This window comes from Homo sapiens, chromosome 17, assembly GCF_000001405.40.
Source record: "Homo sapiens chromosome 17, GRCh38.p14 Primary Assembly".
NCBI lineage: Eukaryota > Metazoa > Chordata > Mammalia > Primates > Hominidae > Homo > Homo sapiens.
This window is the reverse complement of record NC_000017.11, coordinates 21,196,014-21,214,202: the sequence shown is the minus strand read 5'-3', so window position 1 is coordinate 21,214,202 and position 18,189 is coordinate 21,196,014. Positions and strand designations below refer to the sequence as shown.

General features: G+C 51.3%; 1 protein-coding gene across 2 annotated transcripts, besides 3 other annotated features; it reads left to right on the top strand.

The window, feature by feature from the left end:
• Positions 41-140: an enhancer, noted in NCBI's record as "active region_11880". NCBI's record gives its function as "activates an Ori minimal core promoter by ATAC-STARR-seq in GM12878 lymphoblastoid cells {active_cell/tissue: GM12878}" and the evidence as "EXISTENCE:reporter gene assay evidence [ECO:0000049][PMID:35858748]".
• TMEM11 (transmembrane protein 11) lies at positions 42-16,249 on the top strand. 2 transcript variants are annotated; one of them, NR_024547.2, is made up of 3 exons: positions 42-112; positions 2,976-3,267; positions 15,363-16,249. NR_024547.2 is itself a non-coding variant. In NM_003876.3 (2 exons), exons 1-2 carry the CDS (start codon positions 51-53, stop codon positions 15,877-15,879), a joined length of 579 nt encoding a protein of 192 aa, NP_003867.1. In that variant the 5' UTR covers positions 42-50; the 3' UTR covers positions 15,880-16,249. The 2 variants fall into 2 exon arrangements, 1 of the variants encoding a protein (NP_003867.1); NM_003876.3 differs by lacking the exon at positions 2,976-3,267.
• Positions 8,465-9,097: an enhancer, noted in NCBI's record as "H3K27ac-H3K4me1 hESC enhancer chr17:21108419-21109051 (GRCh37/hg19 assembly coordinates)". NCBI's record gives its function as "activates a minimal SCP1, AML or CMV promoter by ChIP-STARR-seq in primed H9 embryonic stem cells {active_cell/tissue: H9 hESC(primed)}" and the evidence as "EXISTENCE:reporter gene assay evidence [ECO:0000049][PMID:30033119]".
• Positions 14,504-15,301: an enhancer, noted in NCBI's record as "NANOG-H3K27ac-H3K4me1 hESC enhancer chr17:21102215-21103012 (GRCh37/hg19 assembly coordinates)". NCBI's record gives its function as "activates a minimal SCP1, AML or CMV promoter by ChIP-STARR-seq in primed H9 embryonic stem cells {active_cell/tissue: H9 hESC(primed)}" and the evidence as "EXISTENCE:reporter gene assay evidence [ECO:0000049][PMID:30033119]".
• Positions 16,250-18,189: the final 1,940 nt, after the last annotated feature.

The following is an 18,189-nucleotide window of genomic DNA, read 5'->3' as shown; positions in this document are numbered from 1 at the left end:
CTCCCGATGCCGCCTTGGCGCGAGACGTTGGCAAGCAGAGTGTCTCCAAGATGGCCGCTTGGGGAAGGAGGCGTCTTGGCCCGGGCAGCAGTGGCGGCAGCGCCCGAGAGAGGTGAGATCCAAGGGCTTGTTGCCCCCAGTGCAGGCGGCTCAGCGGCCGGAGAGCCCAGCGCGGCCTCCGAGGGCTGCAGCAGCCTTCCTTCCCTGGTTTCCCCGCGCTCCCCCTACCCTCGCCGGGCATACTGGGTTCCAGTTCCGGAGGATCCGGGATCCGGGTGGGAGCGAGGTCGAAGGCCTCGGCGGAGAGCTTAGGGGAAGGGGCGTTAGCCGGGCTGAGTAAGGTAGGCAGCGGCCATGCGGGGCGGGGCCCGAGGCCGGGCCGTGCTGAAAGGAACTGGCGCCCAGCGCAGGCCTCAGGGACCCGCCTAGCTGCCCGCGGGCCGATCGGCTGCTGAAGCACCCTTCCCGCCTGGGCACGCGCGTGGCCATCTCGGCCGCGGCCCCAGACGTGTAGAGGAAGGCAGGGCCCCCGGAGAGAGAAAGAAGGGGAAGCCTTCACAGAGCAGGCCGGCCGCGGCAGGGGTAGTTTGATCTGCACGTTTACTAGGGAGCTTTAGCTCCCGCCAGATGTGTCTCTTCCGAGCCCAGAGCCGGCCACTTCCTCGAGGGAAGATTCTGAAGACTTTTGGATGGTTCTGTGCAAGCGCTCCTGCCGTAGAAGTCCTTTAAAGTGACCTTTCCTAATGAATGGTGTGTGGGCAGGGAGCTAGGAGCGTGTTTCTTCCAACAGGGACCTCCATTTGAATAACTGATTTCTAGAAGATGAGATTGGAGTAGTTTCCGTGTTTCATGTTCAAGTTGCAGTTTTTGCATCTGGGAAGCAGTTTCAGCTAGTGGAAACCACTAGAAGCTGTTCAGCCACTAGAAATTTGGGAGAAGATGTATTGGTGGAGCCACCTGGATTAACTGTCCGCTAAAGCTTGATTGTTATAGCAGCGGTCAGCAAAAAAGGAAAAGTTTTTGTTTTGCTGGTTCTCCCCCTCCCCGTCTTTTTGGTGAGGATTGTCTAACAGAAAAGTTATCTTCCTCTCAACTACTCTGCATTATTCCTTTTCTGTGACTGATTCCATCCCGTGTTCATTGCTATTGCTTGCAGATGGCTTTCCCAGCTGGGAAGATTCTTCCTGTTTGGCAGTTGTGATAGAATCCTTTAGCTTGCTTGCACTTTATTCTTTAGCCCAGTTATCCAGCGTTGCCCATTCTGCATTTCCTCTTCCTTGGAAAAGCAGTGGTAAACACACTTTTGTTTTTCTAACTCCCGCCTGGTATTAGATTGGACCATTTAAATAAGTTACCTCAATGGTTTTCAGATGCTCTTAAAAACTAGCAAACATTTTCAAGATATTCAATGCAAACAGTAATACGAAATAACCTGTTTAGAAAACAAAGTATTAGAAACATACGCCCTCTTGTTGGACTAAAAGCATCTGAAAAGAGCCGAATAGGGATGCCTCAGGCAGGGAACAGGAGCCTTGCCAGCACAGGTTAAGCTTTTATTGATCTAAGAAAATAGATGCTGAGAATTGTTTTTGTTTTGGCTTGAGACAACTGTTTATTCAAAATGGATCTGCAAATTAGCAGTGCATAGGCTGGATCCAGTCCTTGACTGTTGAACCTCAACAGTTTTTAAGAGAATTTAAATTAGTTGCCAGCAGATTTCATATAAAACGCTCCCTGAAAAGCTGGGTAGTGGCTGACTCTTTTTGGTCGGGACAAGTGCTTGGTTCCAGTTCTTGGTTCCTCACCTGACAGCTTGACTCAAATCACCTGACAGCTTGACTCAAATCACCTGTCAGCTTGACTCAATGCATTTGCCTGCTTGGTCTCTGTAGGTGTTCAGGTTGCACCTTTGGCCTGGAACTGAAGGCTCTACTCACACACGCAGATGTTGTGTGTCAGCAGGAATGTGGCATTTGGTTTTGTAGTTTGGATGTCACCATCTACTCTCCTAGATAACGTGGTATGGGTGGAGACTACCTGTCTGTTTGCTCTTGCTGTAAACCCCTAGCCAGGTTCTGTTGGAAGAGTCATTTCCCCGAGCCCAGCTTCCCTAAGCTCTTCCCATGCTGAGCAGGGGATGGAAACATAACCCGCTGTGGGGCTAGCGAGCTGACTTCTGGGCATCCCTCCATTCCTGCTCAGTTGGTGATGACTGTTCAGGTGGGGCAGGGCGGATTAGCTGATGGCCCAGCACTCTAGATTATGAGATCTGAGTGTATTATTGGCTCTTATGACTGAAGTAGGCTGTTTATGGCTCTCTAAAATGACTTTGTTCCATGTCACATTCGTGCTGACTCAAATCTCAGCTCCATGTTATACGAGTGCTCTCTCCCGTTGCTGCTCACACCTGGTTAGCATCTGCTTTTGCTGAAGCTGAGGGAAACATTATCTGGTTTGGGGAAGGGGCTAGAACAGAGTGACACTTTGGGCACACTTGCCAGATTTGCCAGCGGCTACCAACTCTGAAGCATGCATTGTACTTAAAGGTCCCACCCAGTGCCAGACTGCCTGCAGTATTACTGCCGGCGCTGTGTGTTGGATGGTCCAGTTTAGCACGTGTAGCGTGTGGGTTCTTGCTTTACCTTGTTGAGTCTAGAACCACAGCTCTAGAATTAGTGCTGAATTAACACAGCAGTTCAGTAGTCACCAGCTACATGTGGCAATTACATTTAAATTCATTAAAATTAAGTAAAATGAAGAATTCAGCTCCTCAGTCTCACTAGCCACATTTCAAGTGCTCAATAGCCACTTCCGGCCTGTGGCTACCATATTGGACAGCATAGGTGGAGGACATTTCCATCACTGCAGAAAGTTATGATATGGACAGTGCTGGTTTCGACTAAGATAGGAGGGGTGGAAATAGCAAAATGGTAGTGCTTGCATGTTGATTTTTCTCTCCACTCCATTAAATCTAGGGAACCAACAGTGTTTGTAATGAAGAACATCAGACTCTGAGCTGTAACCTGAATTCTTGTCCAAAATTCAGCACACTGGCAACGAGCACATCAAACAGATTGCCACTTGTCCTGTCGGCGTCTTTGAGACACACTTGCCCATCTAGGAAAGCACAGTGCAGGTATCTGTGTTCTGCCACCGTGTGCCAGCCCGGACCAGCTCACAGACAGCCCTGCCTGTCTTACTTGGGCTGCTCGGCTTCACTGTCTCAGGGCCCCTGAACCTCCCAGAGCCCTCCGTGATTGTTGGAATGTGAGTATAGCTGTGTGCTCTTGAGTTCCTGTTTTTATAATCACGTGAAGATGTACTTGATCTGCTTCTGAGCATGATATGAGGCAACCTGGGGTGTGCAGAGGGCCAGATGCACGGGGCTAAAAGTTCAGGTTTAGCGCGAAGTTATTTGTTGTGGCCTGCCCCTCCCCTGGCTTGCGCGGCCATCTGCTCCAGCGTTTTATAGGCAGCCAGTTCCCTGGGCTGACTTTCATGGCTTTCCTTGCCATGCTTTATTCCCCAGGACCTGTCCTCTTCTTTGTGAACTCAGGTGTGCCTGGTCCCAGGTGGCCCTTACACGTTCATCCAGTGAGCAGATGGAGCACAGGCCCCGGGGGCAGGTTGGGTCATGGTCCCGGGGTGACAGCTTCCCTTTCTGATCTGATCCTTCCCTTTTAGACTCTCAGGCTTTGGGAGTATTTAATCTCTCTTGAAAGACTCCATGCTTGCTTTTGTGTGTGGCGGGAGTTTTTGTTTCCTTCTGGCTGGGATGAGATGAGCAGATACGGGATCTGCACCCAAGTGTGTGGGGGTTTAGCCACTGGTTGTGGGATTCTGCTCAGCTCTTTAACAAAGGCAAAGCCACATGTTCTGGCCGCAGAAGTTGGATTCGTAGGTAAGGATGGGGTTCATCCTCTTCAGTATTGATGTGCCTTCAAGTTTTCAAGAATTTCTGTTTTCCTTGGTTCACTCAAGCAGCCTGGATTCCAAGTGCATTAATTTGTGTCTCAGTGGTTCAGTCCTTTAGGTCATGTTCCAGGGAAGGCTCCCCTTTCTGAAGAGGGGAGGGCTGCGCCTGGGTCCACGGAGGTGGGGAGGTGGCTCCTCTGCCCCGGCTTGTCGGTGTGCACCTGTTCTTCAATGAGCGAGGTGCGGGGGGTGGAGTTGGGCAGCACTCCATGACCGAGCACACCCGGGAACCTCCTGACTGCCACGGTGTTCCGCCCTGGTGCCAGCAGCCACTTTATGGGCACAGTTCTCAGGAAAAGCTGACAGCCATGTAGTAGTCATAACAGTTCTTCAGAGCAGGGCTGTCCAGTAGGAGTTTCTGGCATGACAGACTCCTGGCGTGTCCCTGCAGTCCATTAGGGCAGCCATTAGCCACGTGTGGCTCTGAGGAACTGAGGTTTCATTTATTTATTTATTTTATGAGACAGGTCTGGCTCTGTCACCCAGGCTGGAGTGCAGTGGTATGATCTCGGATCTCTGCAACCTCCGTCTCCCTGGCTCAAACCATTCTCCCACCCCAGCCTCCCGAGTAGCTGGGACCACAGGCATGTACCACCACGCCCAGCTCATTTTTGTATTTTTTGTAGAGGCAGAGTTTTCACCATGTTGTCTAGGCTGGTCTTAAAATTTGTGGGCTCAAGGAATCCACCCGCCCTGGCCTCCCAAAGTGCTGGGATTACAGGCGTGAGCCACTGTGCCCGGCCAGGAACTGAATTTTTTAAGATGTCTAATTTTAATTAATTTAAATTTCAACAGCCACATGTGTCTTAGGCAGAGGGGCAGTGCTTGGCGACTGTTCCCATCTTCACTGCAGTCCTCTGGGAGAGCCAGGGCCTCTGGCCCCGTTTGACAACATGGGAAACTGGCTCAGAGGGGCCGGGTGTTTTGCCCTAGGACACAAAGCCAGTAGGCAGCCGAGAGGGAACTTGAATCCACCCTCTCGACTCCCACACTTGGTGCGCCGTGTTCCTGCTCCCCAGATAGAAGGGCTGCTGAGTTACCAGTGCGCAGAATAGGAAAGTGTCCTCTGAAGCAGACGAAAGGGCTGGGTGTCCTGTGAAAGTTCCTTGGCCTGTGGGAGCCGTCCTCAGGCCATGGGGCCGCATGCCCGTGCCTTTGAGTCTGGGGCACGGGCTTTCACTGCTTCAGTCCTCTGCTTTCTGTGGGTCCCAAAGAAGCAGGGCTTAATTAGGCAGAAGCGGGTGGAGGTCCAGCCCAGCACCTCCTGTATCATAGGTGATCAAGTGACCCTTTCACTAAGTGAAAAGCAGCCTGACGGATGGGTTGACTTTTCTGGTACCAGTTCTCTTAATAACCATAATTGTTTTTCTCCTCCTGTGACTCCTGTGGCTCATGTCTGTAATCATTACAAATGTCCCTCCAACCTGTGTCTTTTGGGAACCTGTTACATTCAGGCCCAGTGCTGGGGAAACTACGATGAAAATGCAGCCTCTGCCCTCATGGAGCTTCAGGCCTGCCTGTGAGCCCGGGCCCCACTCCAAGAAGGGGCCTAATGTGGATGCTTCCACTCAGATTTGCCTCTGCTGGGTCTCTCAGAACTGGGAAGGTGATTGGTGGCTGGCCTGGCAGCTTAGCCAGTGTTTGCTCAAGGGAAACGGAGCTGGAACTGCCCTCCTCTTTTTGGGCAGGACTACAGGTACACACCAGCATGACACCTCAGCCATGAGAAGCTGCCCGCGTCCAGACTTCTGCCTTTCATGGACACCGAGAAGGTTCTGGAGCAGGAAGTGAGCCACCTCCCGCTCTTCTTGGCAGTGGAAGGAGGCCCTCCCACGGGTATCTGGTCCCTTTACCTCAAGGGATATAGGGTTGAACAGAATTTTTCTTTTTAAGAATAAGTTTATAATTATTTTTCCTGTTATAAAAGAAACACTTTGGCCGGGCGCAGTGGCTCATGCCTGTAATCCCAACACTTTGGGAGGCCGAGGTGGGCGGATCACGAGGTCAGGAGATTGAGACCATCCTCGCTAACACAGTGAAACCCCGTCTCTACTAAAAATACAAAAAATTAGCCGGGCGTGGTGGCGATTGCCTGTAGTCCCAGCTACTCTGGAGGCTGAGGCAGGAGAATGGCGTGAACCCAGGAGGCGGAGCTTGCAGTGAGCCAAGATCACGCCACTGCACTTGAGCCTGGGCGACAGAGCGAGACTCCGTCTCAAAAAAAAAAAAAAGAAACACTTTTTTTTAAAAAATATAGAAAAGCATGAAGAAATTGACAAGTCACCTATTAGGCCACCATCCAAAGAAAACCACTGTTGATCTATTTTCTTGTTTCTTTTGAGACAATGTCTCGCTCTTGTCCCCCTGGCTGGAGTGCAGTGGTGTGATCTTGGCTCACTGCAACCTCTACCTCCTAGGTTCAAGCGATTCTCCTGCCTCAGCCTCCTGAGTAGCTGGGATTACAGGCGCCTGTCACCACACCTGGCTAATTTTTGTATTTTTAGTAGAGACGGGGTTTCACCATGTTGGCCAGGCTGGTCTGAAACTCCTGACCTTAGGTAATCCGCCCGCCTCGGCCTCCCAAAGTGCTGGGATTACAGGCGTGAGCCACCGCGCCTAGCCTGATCTATTTTCATGTATAGCACCTTTGATACTTTGTCTTATATATCTTGCCTTAGGGGTTTTTAAAATTATATTATTGAGACGGACTCTCACTTTGTCACCCAGGCTGGAATGCAGTGGTGCAGTCTCGGTTTACTGCAGCTTCTGCCTCCGGGGTTCAAGCGATTCTCCTGCCTCAGTCTCAAGTAGCTGGGACCACAGGCATGCACCACCACGCCCAGCTAATTTTTGTATTTTTAGTAGGGACACAGTTTCACCACATTGGCCAGCCTGGTCTTGAAGTCCTGACCTCAGGTGATCTGCCCACCTCAGCCTCCCAAAGTGCTGGGATTACAGGCGTGAGCCACCATGCCCAGCCTTATCTTAGATTTTTTAAAGTTATATGTTAAACACATCAAAAGTTATGTTTACAATATGTGAAAAGTAATAAACATGCCACAGCATGATGGCCCTTAAAAACATAATGCAAAATGAAAGAAGCCAGTTGTTGAAGACCACGTTACAGGATTCCATTTAAATGAAATACCCAGAATTGGCATATCCAGAGAGTTGGGAAGCCGACTGGTGGTTGTGGAGGGCTGGGGAGATGTGAAGGGACCACTAATTGGTACAGGGTTTCTTTCTGAGATGATGAAAATGCACCAGGATCAGTTGTGCTATTGGTTGCACAACTTTGGGAAAGCCACTTCATCGTTCACCTCCGATGGGGGAGTTGCTCTGTGAATTCTATCTCAGTAAAGCTGTGAATTCTATCTCAGTAAAGCTGCCATTAAAAAATACAAATCAGGCCAGGCATGGTGGCTCATGCCTGTAATTCCAGCATTTTGGGATCACCTGAGATCAGGAGTTCGAGACTAGCCTGGCCAACATAGAGAAACTCTGTCTCTACTAAAAATACAAAGTTAGCTGGGCGTTGTGGCACGTGCCTGTAATCCCAGCTGCTTGGGAGGCTGAGGCAAGAGAATTGCTTGAACCCAGGAGGTGGAGGTTGCAGTGCTCCGAGATTGTGCCACTGCACTGCAGTCTGGGTGACAAGAGTGAAACTCCGTCTCCACAAAATAAATAAACAAATAAAAATAAAGAAAATGAGACCAGGTACAATGGCTCTTACTTGTAATCCCAGTGCTTTGGGAAGCTGAGGCTGGCAGATCACTTAGGAGTTCGAGACCAGCCTGGCCACCATGGTGAAAACCCTGTCTCTACTAAAAATACAAAAATTAGCTGGGCGTGGCAGCACATGTCTGTAGTCCTAGCTATTTGGGAGGCTGAGGCAGGAGACTCGCTTAAGCCCGGGAGGCGGAGGTTGCAGTGAGTCGAGATAGCGCCATTGCGCTCCAGCCTGGGCAATGGAGCGAGACTGCCTCAAAAGAAAAGAAAACGGAAAATAACAAGTGTTGGTGAGGATATGGAGAAATGGGAACCCCTGTGCGCTGCTGGTGGGAATGTACAATGGTGCAGCTGCTCTGGAAAACAGTATAGAGATTCCTCAAAAAAACTAAAAAATTGAACTGCTATATGATCCAGCAGTTCCACTTCTGGGTATATATACCCCCCCCCCAAAAAAAGCAGGGACTCAAAGAGATGTTTGTGCACCCATGTTCATAGCAGCATTATTCACAATAGCCAGTGGTGGAAACCGAAGTGTCCATCACAGATGAATGGATTAACAAAATGTGGTTTATGCATACGGTGGAACATTACTGAGCCTTAAAAAGGAAGAAAATTCGGATACATGCTACAATATGGATGAACCTTGAAGACTCGTTATGCTCTGTGGAATAAGCCAGACACAAAAGGGCATATACTATATATGATCCAACTTGTATGAAGTACTTGTATAGTCAGATTCATTGGGGTAGAAAGTAGAATGGTAGTTTGCAGGGGCTTGGGGTTGGTGGGGAATGGGGGGATCATTTCATGGGTAGAGTTTCAGTTTGGGAAGGTAAAGGAATCCTGGAGGTGGATGGTGGTGATGGTTGGTACATCAGTGTGCATGTGCTTAGTGCCTCTGAACTGTACACTTAAAAGTGCTTACGGTGGTATATTTTACGTGTATTTTACCACACTTTAAAAAAGGCAAAGTGATAGTTGTGTGGGCTCCCCACCCAGCGCGATAGAGAACTAGCGTTACCCTGGCCTGCCTCCTCCTGCAGCGGAGACCCTGTGCCCCAAGTGCACCACAGCACCCTTGCTGTCCTTATAGTTGGCTTTCAGTGGCACGTCCCTGAGCTCTGCCGCCTTAGAATGTGTGAGAGTTGTATCCCTGGCTCAGGCCACTGGAACTGATTCATGTCACTAATGGAGGAGGTGCGATTCTGCTCTCCCCGCTCCTGTCATCTTTTGCTCTCACCGAACAGTTCTGCTCTGAACCTTCTTGTGCGGCTCTTGCCTTTTGGGGAGACGCCTCCAGACTGTGGCTGCTGGGACAGGCACAGGCTGCCCACATCCCAGAGGGGCCGTGGAGTTGCCCTGCTGAGTTTTCACTGTGGCCGCCTTTTAACTGGAATGCTAGTGTTGCCAGGGGATTCCTTTGCTGACTGCGAGAGCTGATTGAGTTGGGCTCAAAAGTGGAGAGATGAGGGCCTGAAGGCTGACTCTGGTTGAAGGCTGAGGGAGGAAGTTCAAGATGCCCACTTTATGAGTGCCTGCAAGCTATCCTGAGGCGGCAGAGAGCGGTCCCATTCAGTGTCTGCAGCAGTCCCCCTGAGGTGCTGGAACGGGCTGACCCCTGCTCCCAGCACTAAAGGCTCAGAGAATCCAAAGCTTCCTCAGTGCTGGCATGATGTGTTTAGGATCATGACACTGATCCTTTTACTTTTCTTCTTCCATATGTTAAGACCCACTTCCGACAGTGATCTTTAAGTACCAGAGATCATGCCAGATTCAAAAGGATCAAAAGTCATTTACTAGAAAGAGCCTCCCTTCCTTTTCTTTCCTGAGCCCCTCAGTTCCCTCCCTAGTGACCAGTCATAAAAATCAGGTCTTTGTGTATCCTTTCAGAAGTGTTCTGTGCATATAAAAGCAAATAGAGACTTTTAAAAATACACTACGTATAGCATACTGTAAACACTCTTCTGAACCCTGCCTTTTCCCCTGAACTTGCTTTCAGTTGGAGACTTTGCTGTTACTGCTGCTACCTTTTTCTCTTTTTTTTTTTTTTTTTTTTTTTTATTGAGACGGAGTTTTACTTGTTGCCCACGCTGGAGTGCAATGGCATGATCTCAGCTCACTGCAACCTCCGCCTCCTGCGTTCAAGCAATTCTTCTGCCTCAGGCTCCCAAGTAGCTGGGATTACAGGCACGTGCCACCAAACCCAGCTAATTTTTGTATTTGTAGCAGAGACAGGGTTTCACCGTGTTAGCCAGGCTGGTCTCGAACTCCTGATCTCAGGTGATCCGCCTGCCTTGGCCTCCCAAAGTGCTGGGATTACAGGCATGAGCCACTGCACCTGGCCACTTTTTCTTTCTTTTTTTTTTTTTTTTTAAACATAGACTCTATTAATTGCTCTCTTACTGGTCATTTCACACCTGCAATGAAAAGCAAAAATACAGTCCCTTAGGAAGCCCAGGGCTCAAAAGATTCCAACTAGCTCTTACTTAAAAAAAAAAAAAAAAGTCCATATAATTTAAAAAAAAAAAAAAAAAGGAAAAAAAAAGATCTCCCATGCACCAGGGTTCAGATCACCCAGTTCCTAAAGCCCATGGCCTTACCAGTTAGGGGGCAGCTGGTGATGCTCTGCAGTGGTTTGAGATAACCTTCTGACTGGGTTCTTTCCTTCATTAGGTTTTGTTTGACCCACAAGCAGAAGCAAGCCATATACGGGTGGCTGCTGGGTGGTCAGGAGCTGGCTGGACGTGGCTGTCTCCTGGGAGTACTTGGCAGTTTCTTTTTTCTTTTTTTTTCTTTTTTTTCTTTCTGTCATTCAGGCTGGAGTGCAGTGGCACAATCTTGGCTCACTGCAACCTCTGCCTCCCAGGTTCAAGTGATTCTTGTGCCTCAGCCTGCTGAGTAGCTGTAATTACAGGTGTGCAGCACCGCGCCTGGCTAATTTTTGGTAAAGACGGTTTCACCTTGTTGGCCAGGCTGGTCTCGAACTCCTGACATCAAGTGATCTGCACACCTTTGCCTCCCAAAGTGCTGGGATTACAGGCGTGAGCCACCGCACCTGGTCATGGCCACGAATTTCTGAAGTAAGAGAAGTGCAGCAGTCCCTGTCAGCAGTGCAGACCTGAACCCAAGGGCCCAGCAGTGGCAGCTAAAAAACCTGTGTCTGCACTGACAGCACCCCACTCCCACCAGTGTACCAGGAAGTTGGAGTGCTGACTGCCTGGTCGTGGCCGGGTGAGCTCCAACGGAGGGATCCTGCGGCTTTGGGTGCGTCTGTGTGTGTTTTGGTTTGAACCTTACCGTCTCCATATAGGGTCTGTTGCCTTATAGAATCCTAGAAATCCACTTCCCTAGACTTCACGTGTTGTCCTTTCCCAGTGGAAACCGAGATTCCCTTTGCCTAACTGGCTTTAAAAGCAGAATTGGTGAGCCTCTGGCCTCAGCGCCGTTGTGCAGGACCCTGCCTTTGTTTGAAGGCAGTGTGGCTTATGTCCTTTGTGTTTCTGCTGTGGATAGGTGTCTTAGACAGTGGGCAGCAACAGTGCCCAGCCCATATGAAGACGCCGAGGCTGCAGGAGGCCGGGGCCATGGTTTGACAGGCAGGTGGGGGCAGACCCACGCCACCATCTCAGGATGTGTGCTGGCGAGTGCCCCCATGTCCACGTGCTTGCTTATGGCTGTGTCATTCACAGGACTGCCCACAGCCGAGGGCAGAGGATGCCCAGTCTCCTCACTCCCTGTGCTGGGGGGCGGGCCACACCTGGCAACAGCAGTGAGGTGGGAGGGAGCCTGGAGGGCCTTGGCTTCTCGCTGCTTCCAGGCTGGTTGGGACTCGTGGACGCACCCACCCATCCGTCCCAGCAAGCGATGGAGCCTGCAGAGGGGTCTGGGTGGATGTGGGTGCCAGCTGGGCTTGCAGGGGGGCCGGAGGGGGTGAGGGGGTGGGATCTGCCCACTGCTGTGTTTCCAGATGGGGCAGTCGGTTCCAGGACCGGGGTTTCCACTGGAATTTCCTCTGTGGGACCAACAGTGGTTTTCACTACATTCAGGATGGCGCTGGCCTGCTGGGCAGAGAAAGGTACCGCACTAGGGTGGATTTGGGTGTTGGCGAGAACATTGTGTAACCCCAGCTTGACACCTCCCTTTTGCTTTGAGTGTTCCTGAGGGAGGAAGCCCGCCTCTGGTGCCCGCCCCAAGGTGTCCCTGGCCTGGCTTTGACAGTCAGTAGGATGCACAGCTGACTTGGAAGCAACTCCATTTCCGTCTCAAGATTGGGACACGATTTGGTCCTCCACCCCTACCTTGTTATCTGGCCTCTCTGCTCCTGTTGCCTGATGGACTTGAGACCAGAAGGGAGTTCTCTTGGCCAGGAGTGCTCCCACCTGAGAGTGGAGGCCCCGCCCCTCCCCGCACACCCAGGGCCACAGCCAGCCCATTGCGCCACCGCCACTCATTTCTCATCTGAGCACGTGGGGGCACTGCTCGGCCTTCAGCTTTCCAGCGCCAGTGAAGACCCTGCTTTGGGTGTGCTTGTTTGCTGTAGGTAGCTTCTAAAATGCTGCATCTGGCTGGATGCGGTAGCTCATGCCTGTTAATCCCAGGACTTTGGGAGGCCAAGGCGGGTGGAACACTTGAGCCCAGGAGTTCGAGACCAGCCTGGGCAACATGGCATAACCCCATCTGTACAACAAAATTTTTTTAATTAGCCAGGCAGCCAGGCGTGGTGGCACATACCTGTAGTCCCAGCTACTCGGGAGGCAGAGGTGGGAGGATCTCTTGAACCCGGGAGGTCGAGGCTGCCATCAGCAGAGATCACACCACTGCACTCCTGCCTGGGTGACAGAGCAGGAACCTGTCTCAAAAATAAAAACTGTTGAATCCTACCTGGAAGTAACAGCTGGCCTCTCCCTTACCTCTCCTCTAAGACCAAATGGAAAAACTCCACCGAGAACTTTAGAAGGAAAACCCTCCTTTCCCCATTTCATAAGCTGCTCGTGCAGTCTTACAGTAACAGCTCATCATTTCATCCCTGGCGAGGCAGCCGTGACACTGGCACAGTCACAGGTGGCTTGGCAGCAACCCATGTTTAGGAGGCTCTTGTCCCACCCTCAGGGCACTGATTTCTCCCCAGTGCATGCCGTTTAATTAGGGCCTATGATTGAATTAGGAGGCTTTGCCTTAGCCTGGCTTAGTTACAGTGACTTTTTCAGGATAAAGAGTTCCGTTTGCCCAAGTCCAAGCCAGTGCCTTTTATGAAAGTGGTTCCCACCCAGGGGCGGGGTTAGGGTCCCCATGCTTGGGGGCACAGTCAGCCCATTACCAATGACTTTCATCTTTAATGTGGCCACATGAGATCGTTAACTAGTTGTTTATCCAACCAGAATGCAACCCTGCCTGTTAGGTTTGCTTATTTGTTTGCTGAAAGCTTTGAGCTGGGAGGAGTCTCAGTAGTAGGAAGAACTACGATTGCCTGTTCTTTTTCCTTGAAGTTTCCCGACAGTCCGATTTCCACCATCCTTCACTTGGAATTGCTCCCATCTTTGAAGGAGGCTGGAGGGAGTTACCTTCATGCTGGGCTGAGGTTCTGGGGTGGCTTGTTATGAATGTCTTCACTCGTCACTCCCATATTACGGCCAATGGCCAGGTGGCTCAGCTCCCCATGACTCTCCTCTGCACCGCAGCCAGGTGTGCCTGCCAGGACAGGCTGGGCGGACGGGACCTTCGCGTCTGTGCACACTGAGGGCTGTGCTTCTCGTTAGCCATGAAAGGAAGCTAGTTCCTGTCAGGCACATTCGGAGCTTCAGGTACATGGGCCACATTGACCCTTGTGTTGCCTGGTACAGTGTTCCAGAGCCTCCCAGTTGGAAGGGCATGGACTCCAGCAGGGGAGCAGTGACCAGCAGGTCCCTGGAGCCTTGTGTCCTTTAGTCAGATGGGTCCGACCATCCTGGGGACCAGGGTGTGCTGAGGGAAGGGGCAGCTTTTCCCTGAGGCATGTGACAGAACATGGCTCTGTGCAGCCTTGGGAGCCATGAGTTGGAAAACTTGATCCAGCCTCAAGAGCTATGTCTAGCAGTGTCCCCGTCAAGGCCCAGATAAAGACTTCTTGCAGATGAGCAGATAACGGAAAACTAGGATGTGGGGTGACGGTGCGGAGATTCAGAGAGATCTGTCTCAGCTGAAACCAGCCAAGGAAAGATGACAAGGCATGGATAGCCCTGTCTTCAGGCCTGCCCGCCACAGGTGAAGAAGATTCTGCTTTGGGTGGGAAATTTGTACCGCAGAGGCCTGAAACCAAGAAAAGCAAGACTGCCTGAAATGCAGCTTGGCCCACGGTCACTGCTGGGGCTGCAGCCGGGCTGCCGTCTGGCCTTGCTGCAGAGCTGAGCGTTCCGTGTGGTGGATTACTCTCCTGCTGGTTGGGGTCATGACATGCATCCCCAGTCCCGGGGGGGAAAGCCCCTTGTGTGGTCTCCGTGGCAGTGTTTCTTATGCAAATGAGTGGCATTTGCCGGTGGTGCAGGGGCCTGGGCCTACAGGGCCAGAATTGGTGGCATTGCTGGGCTGGATGTTTTGAAGCCCCTCAGTTGACCCTCCTGCTTACTAAATTTGGAGCCCACTACTGTTCTTGAAGCGTTGTCTTTTCCTAATTCAAGGAAAGGGTCGCTTTTCCTATGCAGTGGGCTAGTGTCCTGGGTCTCCTCTTCTCCCCTCCGCAGCGGGGAGGAGCTGGGGGCTGCTGCCGGCCCAGGAAGGGCACCCAGGGCTTGTGCAGCCTGGCCTCCAGGAGAGCCAAAGGAGTTTGGATTTCATTCGCCCAAGGCAAAGCTCTTCCTTTCTGCCTCTGTTCTGCAGGCCCAGGATGACTACTTAGGAAACGTGCGGAGGGCAAGGGCTTAGCATTATCTGTCCTGAGGTCTGTGGTTTCCAGTGAAGAATCCTCTTGCAGTTGCCCTGATTAACTAAGAATGGCTTTCAGGCTGTTGGCCCTCTGCTGCCGTGTGTGCTCCTGTGATTCTGTGCCGAATCGTTCTTTCCCCTTTAGGCTCCTTTGCTGACTCAGATCAGTTGGTCCACAGCCTTAGGCTAACCACCAGGCCTGTGTTTGTCATGTTAAACGTCGAGGCACTGCTTTTCCTGCCTTTTTATATCTTTTTTTTTTTTTTTTTTCTGAGACTGAGTCTCGCCCTGTCACCCAGGCTGGAGTGCAATGGCACGATCTCGGCTCACTGCAAGCTCCGCCTCCCAGGTTCAAGTGATTCTCCTGCCTCAGCCTCCCGAGTAGATTACAGGGATTATAGGCATGCGCCACCACACCTGGCTAATTTTTTTTTGTATCTTTAGTAGAGACAGGGTTTCACCATGTTGGCCAGGCTGGTCTCTAACTCCTGACCTCATGATCCGCCCCCCCGGCCTCCCAAAGTGCTAGGATTACAGGTGTGAGCCACCACACCCAGCTTTATTTCACTATTTTCAGGAAAAATCCTTTTTACTGATTATCTTGTGTTGGGATTTAAAGGAGATGAGGACCCAAGTGAGATGTGCTCTCCGCAGTGCAGGCTCAGACCTCCCCCAGCGCTGAAACACAGTTAAGTGCTCCTCAGCCTAATCATCCTGTCTCTCTCTCTCTCTCCCTTTCCTGCCCCCTCCATCAAAAGGGTGAGCTTGTCGGCCACAGACTGCTACATTGTGCATGAGATCTACAATGGGGAGAATGCCCAAGACCAGTTTGAGTACGAGCTGGAGCAGGCCCTGGAAGCCCAGTACAAGTACATTGTGATTGAGCCCACTCGCATTGGCGACGAGACAGCCCGCTGGATCACCGTGGGCAACTGCCTGCACAAGACGGCCGTGCTGGCGGGCACCGCCTGCCTCTTCACCCCGTTGGCGCTGCCCTTAGATTATTCCCACTACATTTCCCTGCCCGCTGGTGTGCTGAGCCTGGCCTGCTGCACCCTCTATGGGATCTCCTGGCAGTTTGACCCTTGCTGCAAGTACCAAGTGGAGTACGACGCCTATAAACTGTCGCGCCTGCCTCTGCACACACTCACCTCCTCCACCCCGGTGGTGCTGGTCCGGAAGGACGACCTGCACAGAAAGAGACTGCACAACACGATAGCACTGGCCGCCCTGGTGTACTGTGTAAAGAAGATTTACGAACTCTATGCCGTATGATTTCAGTAGAACAGGGAGCGAAGCAAAACCACCCGGCCCACAAGAGACAACAGAGTATTCAGATCGCCACACTCTGTGAGGCAGCAGAGCCTGGGCAGGTGTTTGGCTTAGTATTTGTTATTTTTAAAAAATAACAGATCACGGGTGTACCCAGGGTTTTTCAGCTCATTACACTAAGATGTGGATTTCCATAACCCAAGAGGGGGGTCTGAGGCTGTGGAAGTCCGACTGGGCAGTGGAATGCTGATGGAGGCAGACGCTGCCGAGGGGGTGTGGACGTGCTTTGGGGGAGGTCTTTAAGTCTATTGTTTAACTGTACCATCCAGAGCCCACCAGAAGCTATTGATCATTAAAATTATGAGAATTTCAACTCCCGCTGTTCTCTCTTTCCATGACTGCCCGCAGCTGCTGCTGCACATCTGCTCTGGGTGGCGGCTTGCACATGGAAGGAGCAGGTGCCATGGTAGCCACCCTGCCCTGCTCCTAGCTGCGGCCCAGTGTTACCACTTACAGCGACGACAAGCCTAGATCCAAGGTAGTCCTGGGGCCAAACCCCGCCCAGGAGCAGTCTCCTGGCTCACCTTGGCCTCATCATTCCGAAGGCCATCACTGCCACCATGCTGTTCAGGAACATGGTAGGATAAGGTGACGAGGCTTGGAGGCCTTTGGGTGTCCACTTGAGTTCACGTGGGGAACTCTGGGCTCCAGGATCGCTCTTCAGAGATCTGAACACCTGTGTTTTCTTTGAAGCACCAAAACTCTTCCTACTGTGGACCATGAGTTTATTAACCCATTGCCCTAGGCTGACAGAAGAGCCCTCGGAGCAATCTTGGAAGCACCCCCTGGCCTCAGTGCTCGCTGTTCCACAGGAGCCAAGCCGGTGCTTCTCCCTCACACCAGAAGGTAGACTGTGTCACCTGCCACATTTCCTCTAAGGCAGGGGTGGCCAATCTTGACTTCCCTGTGCCACATTGGAAAAAGAATTGTCTTGGACCACACATAAAATACACTAACGACAGCTGATGAGCTAAAAAAAAAAAAAAATCACAAAAAAATAATGTTTCAAGAAAGTTTACAAATTTGTGTTGGGCCACATTCAAAGCCATCGTGGGCTGCATGAGGCCCATGGGCTGCTGATTGGTGATTGGACAAGCTTGCTCTAAGGCTTTGGGTAAATGGGAAATTCTCTCTTCCACAAAAAGGCTGGGGTGCCTGTCTTCACTTCTGCCTTCCTAAAGCCCCATTCATCCCTGAAGAGCCACATGGCACCTCCTTCTGAAGGCCAGTCTTTTGTTTTGTTTTGTTTTGTTTTTGAGACAGAGTCTTGCTGTCACCCAGGACGGAGTGCAGTGATGTGATCTCAGCTCACTGCAACCTCCACCTCCCGAGTACAAGTGATTCTCCTGCCTCAGCCCCGAGTAGCTGGGACTATAGCTGTGTGCTACCATACCTGGATACTTTTTGTATTTTTAGTATAGATGGGATTTCGCCTTGCTGGCCAGGCTGGTCTCTAACTCCTGGCCTCAAGTGATCTGCCCGGTTCGGCCTCCCAAAGTGTTGGGATTACAGGCGTGAGCTGCCGTGCCTGGCCAGGCCAATATTTAAGAGACAGCCAAAGTGGTTTCTCACCTAGTTTTAAAGTCCCCATCAGGAAGACCTGATGTCACAGAGTAATGAAAGGGTGCATGGGAAGGATTCACGAGGGGTGATTGGGCCATTTTTTGTAGGGGAGATTCACACCTCTTAAGGATTTTAAAAGGGACCCACGGCCCACAAAAAGTTTAAGAAACTTTGATTTAATTCCAAGAGATTTAGAAATAACTTATCACTCAGTTGAGTGCTGGGGGCATGACGGTGTTGGGTGTGCACCACTGTTTACGTGGCAGTCTCTGGGCACCTGGAATAATGGTAAAGAGGGAACTGCCTTAGCCACACAACTGATCCCGTAAAAACATGCCTCATCTCGACAGCAGTGTGAGTTGAAATGCAGCTGCCCATGACCCCTCAGGTGTCTGAGTGCTGGCATCTGAGCCTGCTGGGCAGGTTTTTGGTTTTTTTTTTTCTTAATAATGCCCAGGTTTGGAAAGGGAGCCCCATACCTGGCCTGGAAGTGCTCTGCCAACAAGTTAGATTTCATGGGGGAATTGACTAGAAGGCACAAGCTGGACAAGCCAGACAAGTCGAGGCAACCTCAAGTCAGCTGAGCAGGAGCCCTCCCCCGAGGTAGAATCCAGCTGCAAATGGGTAGCTCTTCTACCATTTCCCAAGCTGCACTGAACCAAGTGATTCTTATTGGATGTATTAACCTAG

Coding starts and splice junctions, on each gene's coding strand:
- TMEM11 (NM_003876.3), top strand. CDS start 51: ATGGCCGCTTGGGGAAGGAGGCGTCTTGGCCCGGGCAGCAGTGGCGGC. Junction 113..15,362: donor GGCGGCAGCGCCCGAGAGAG/GTGAGATCCAAG, acceptor CTCCATCAAAAG/GGTGAGCTTGTCGGCCACAG.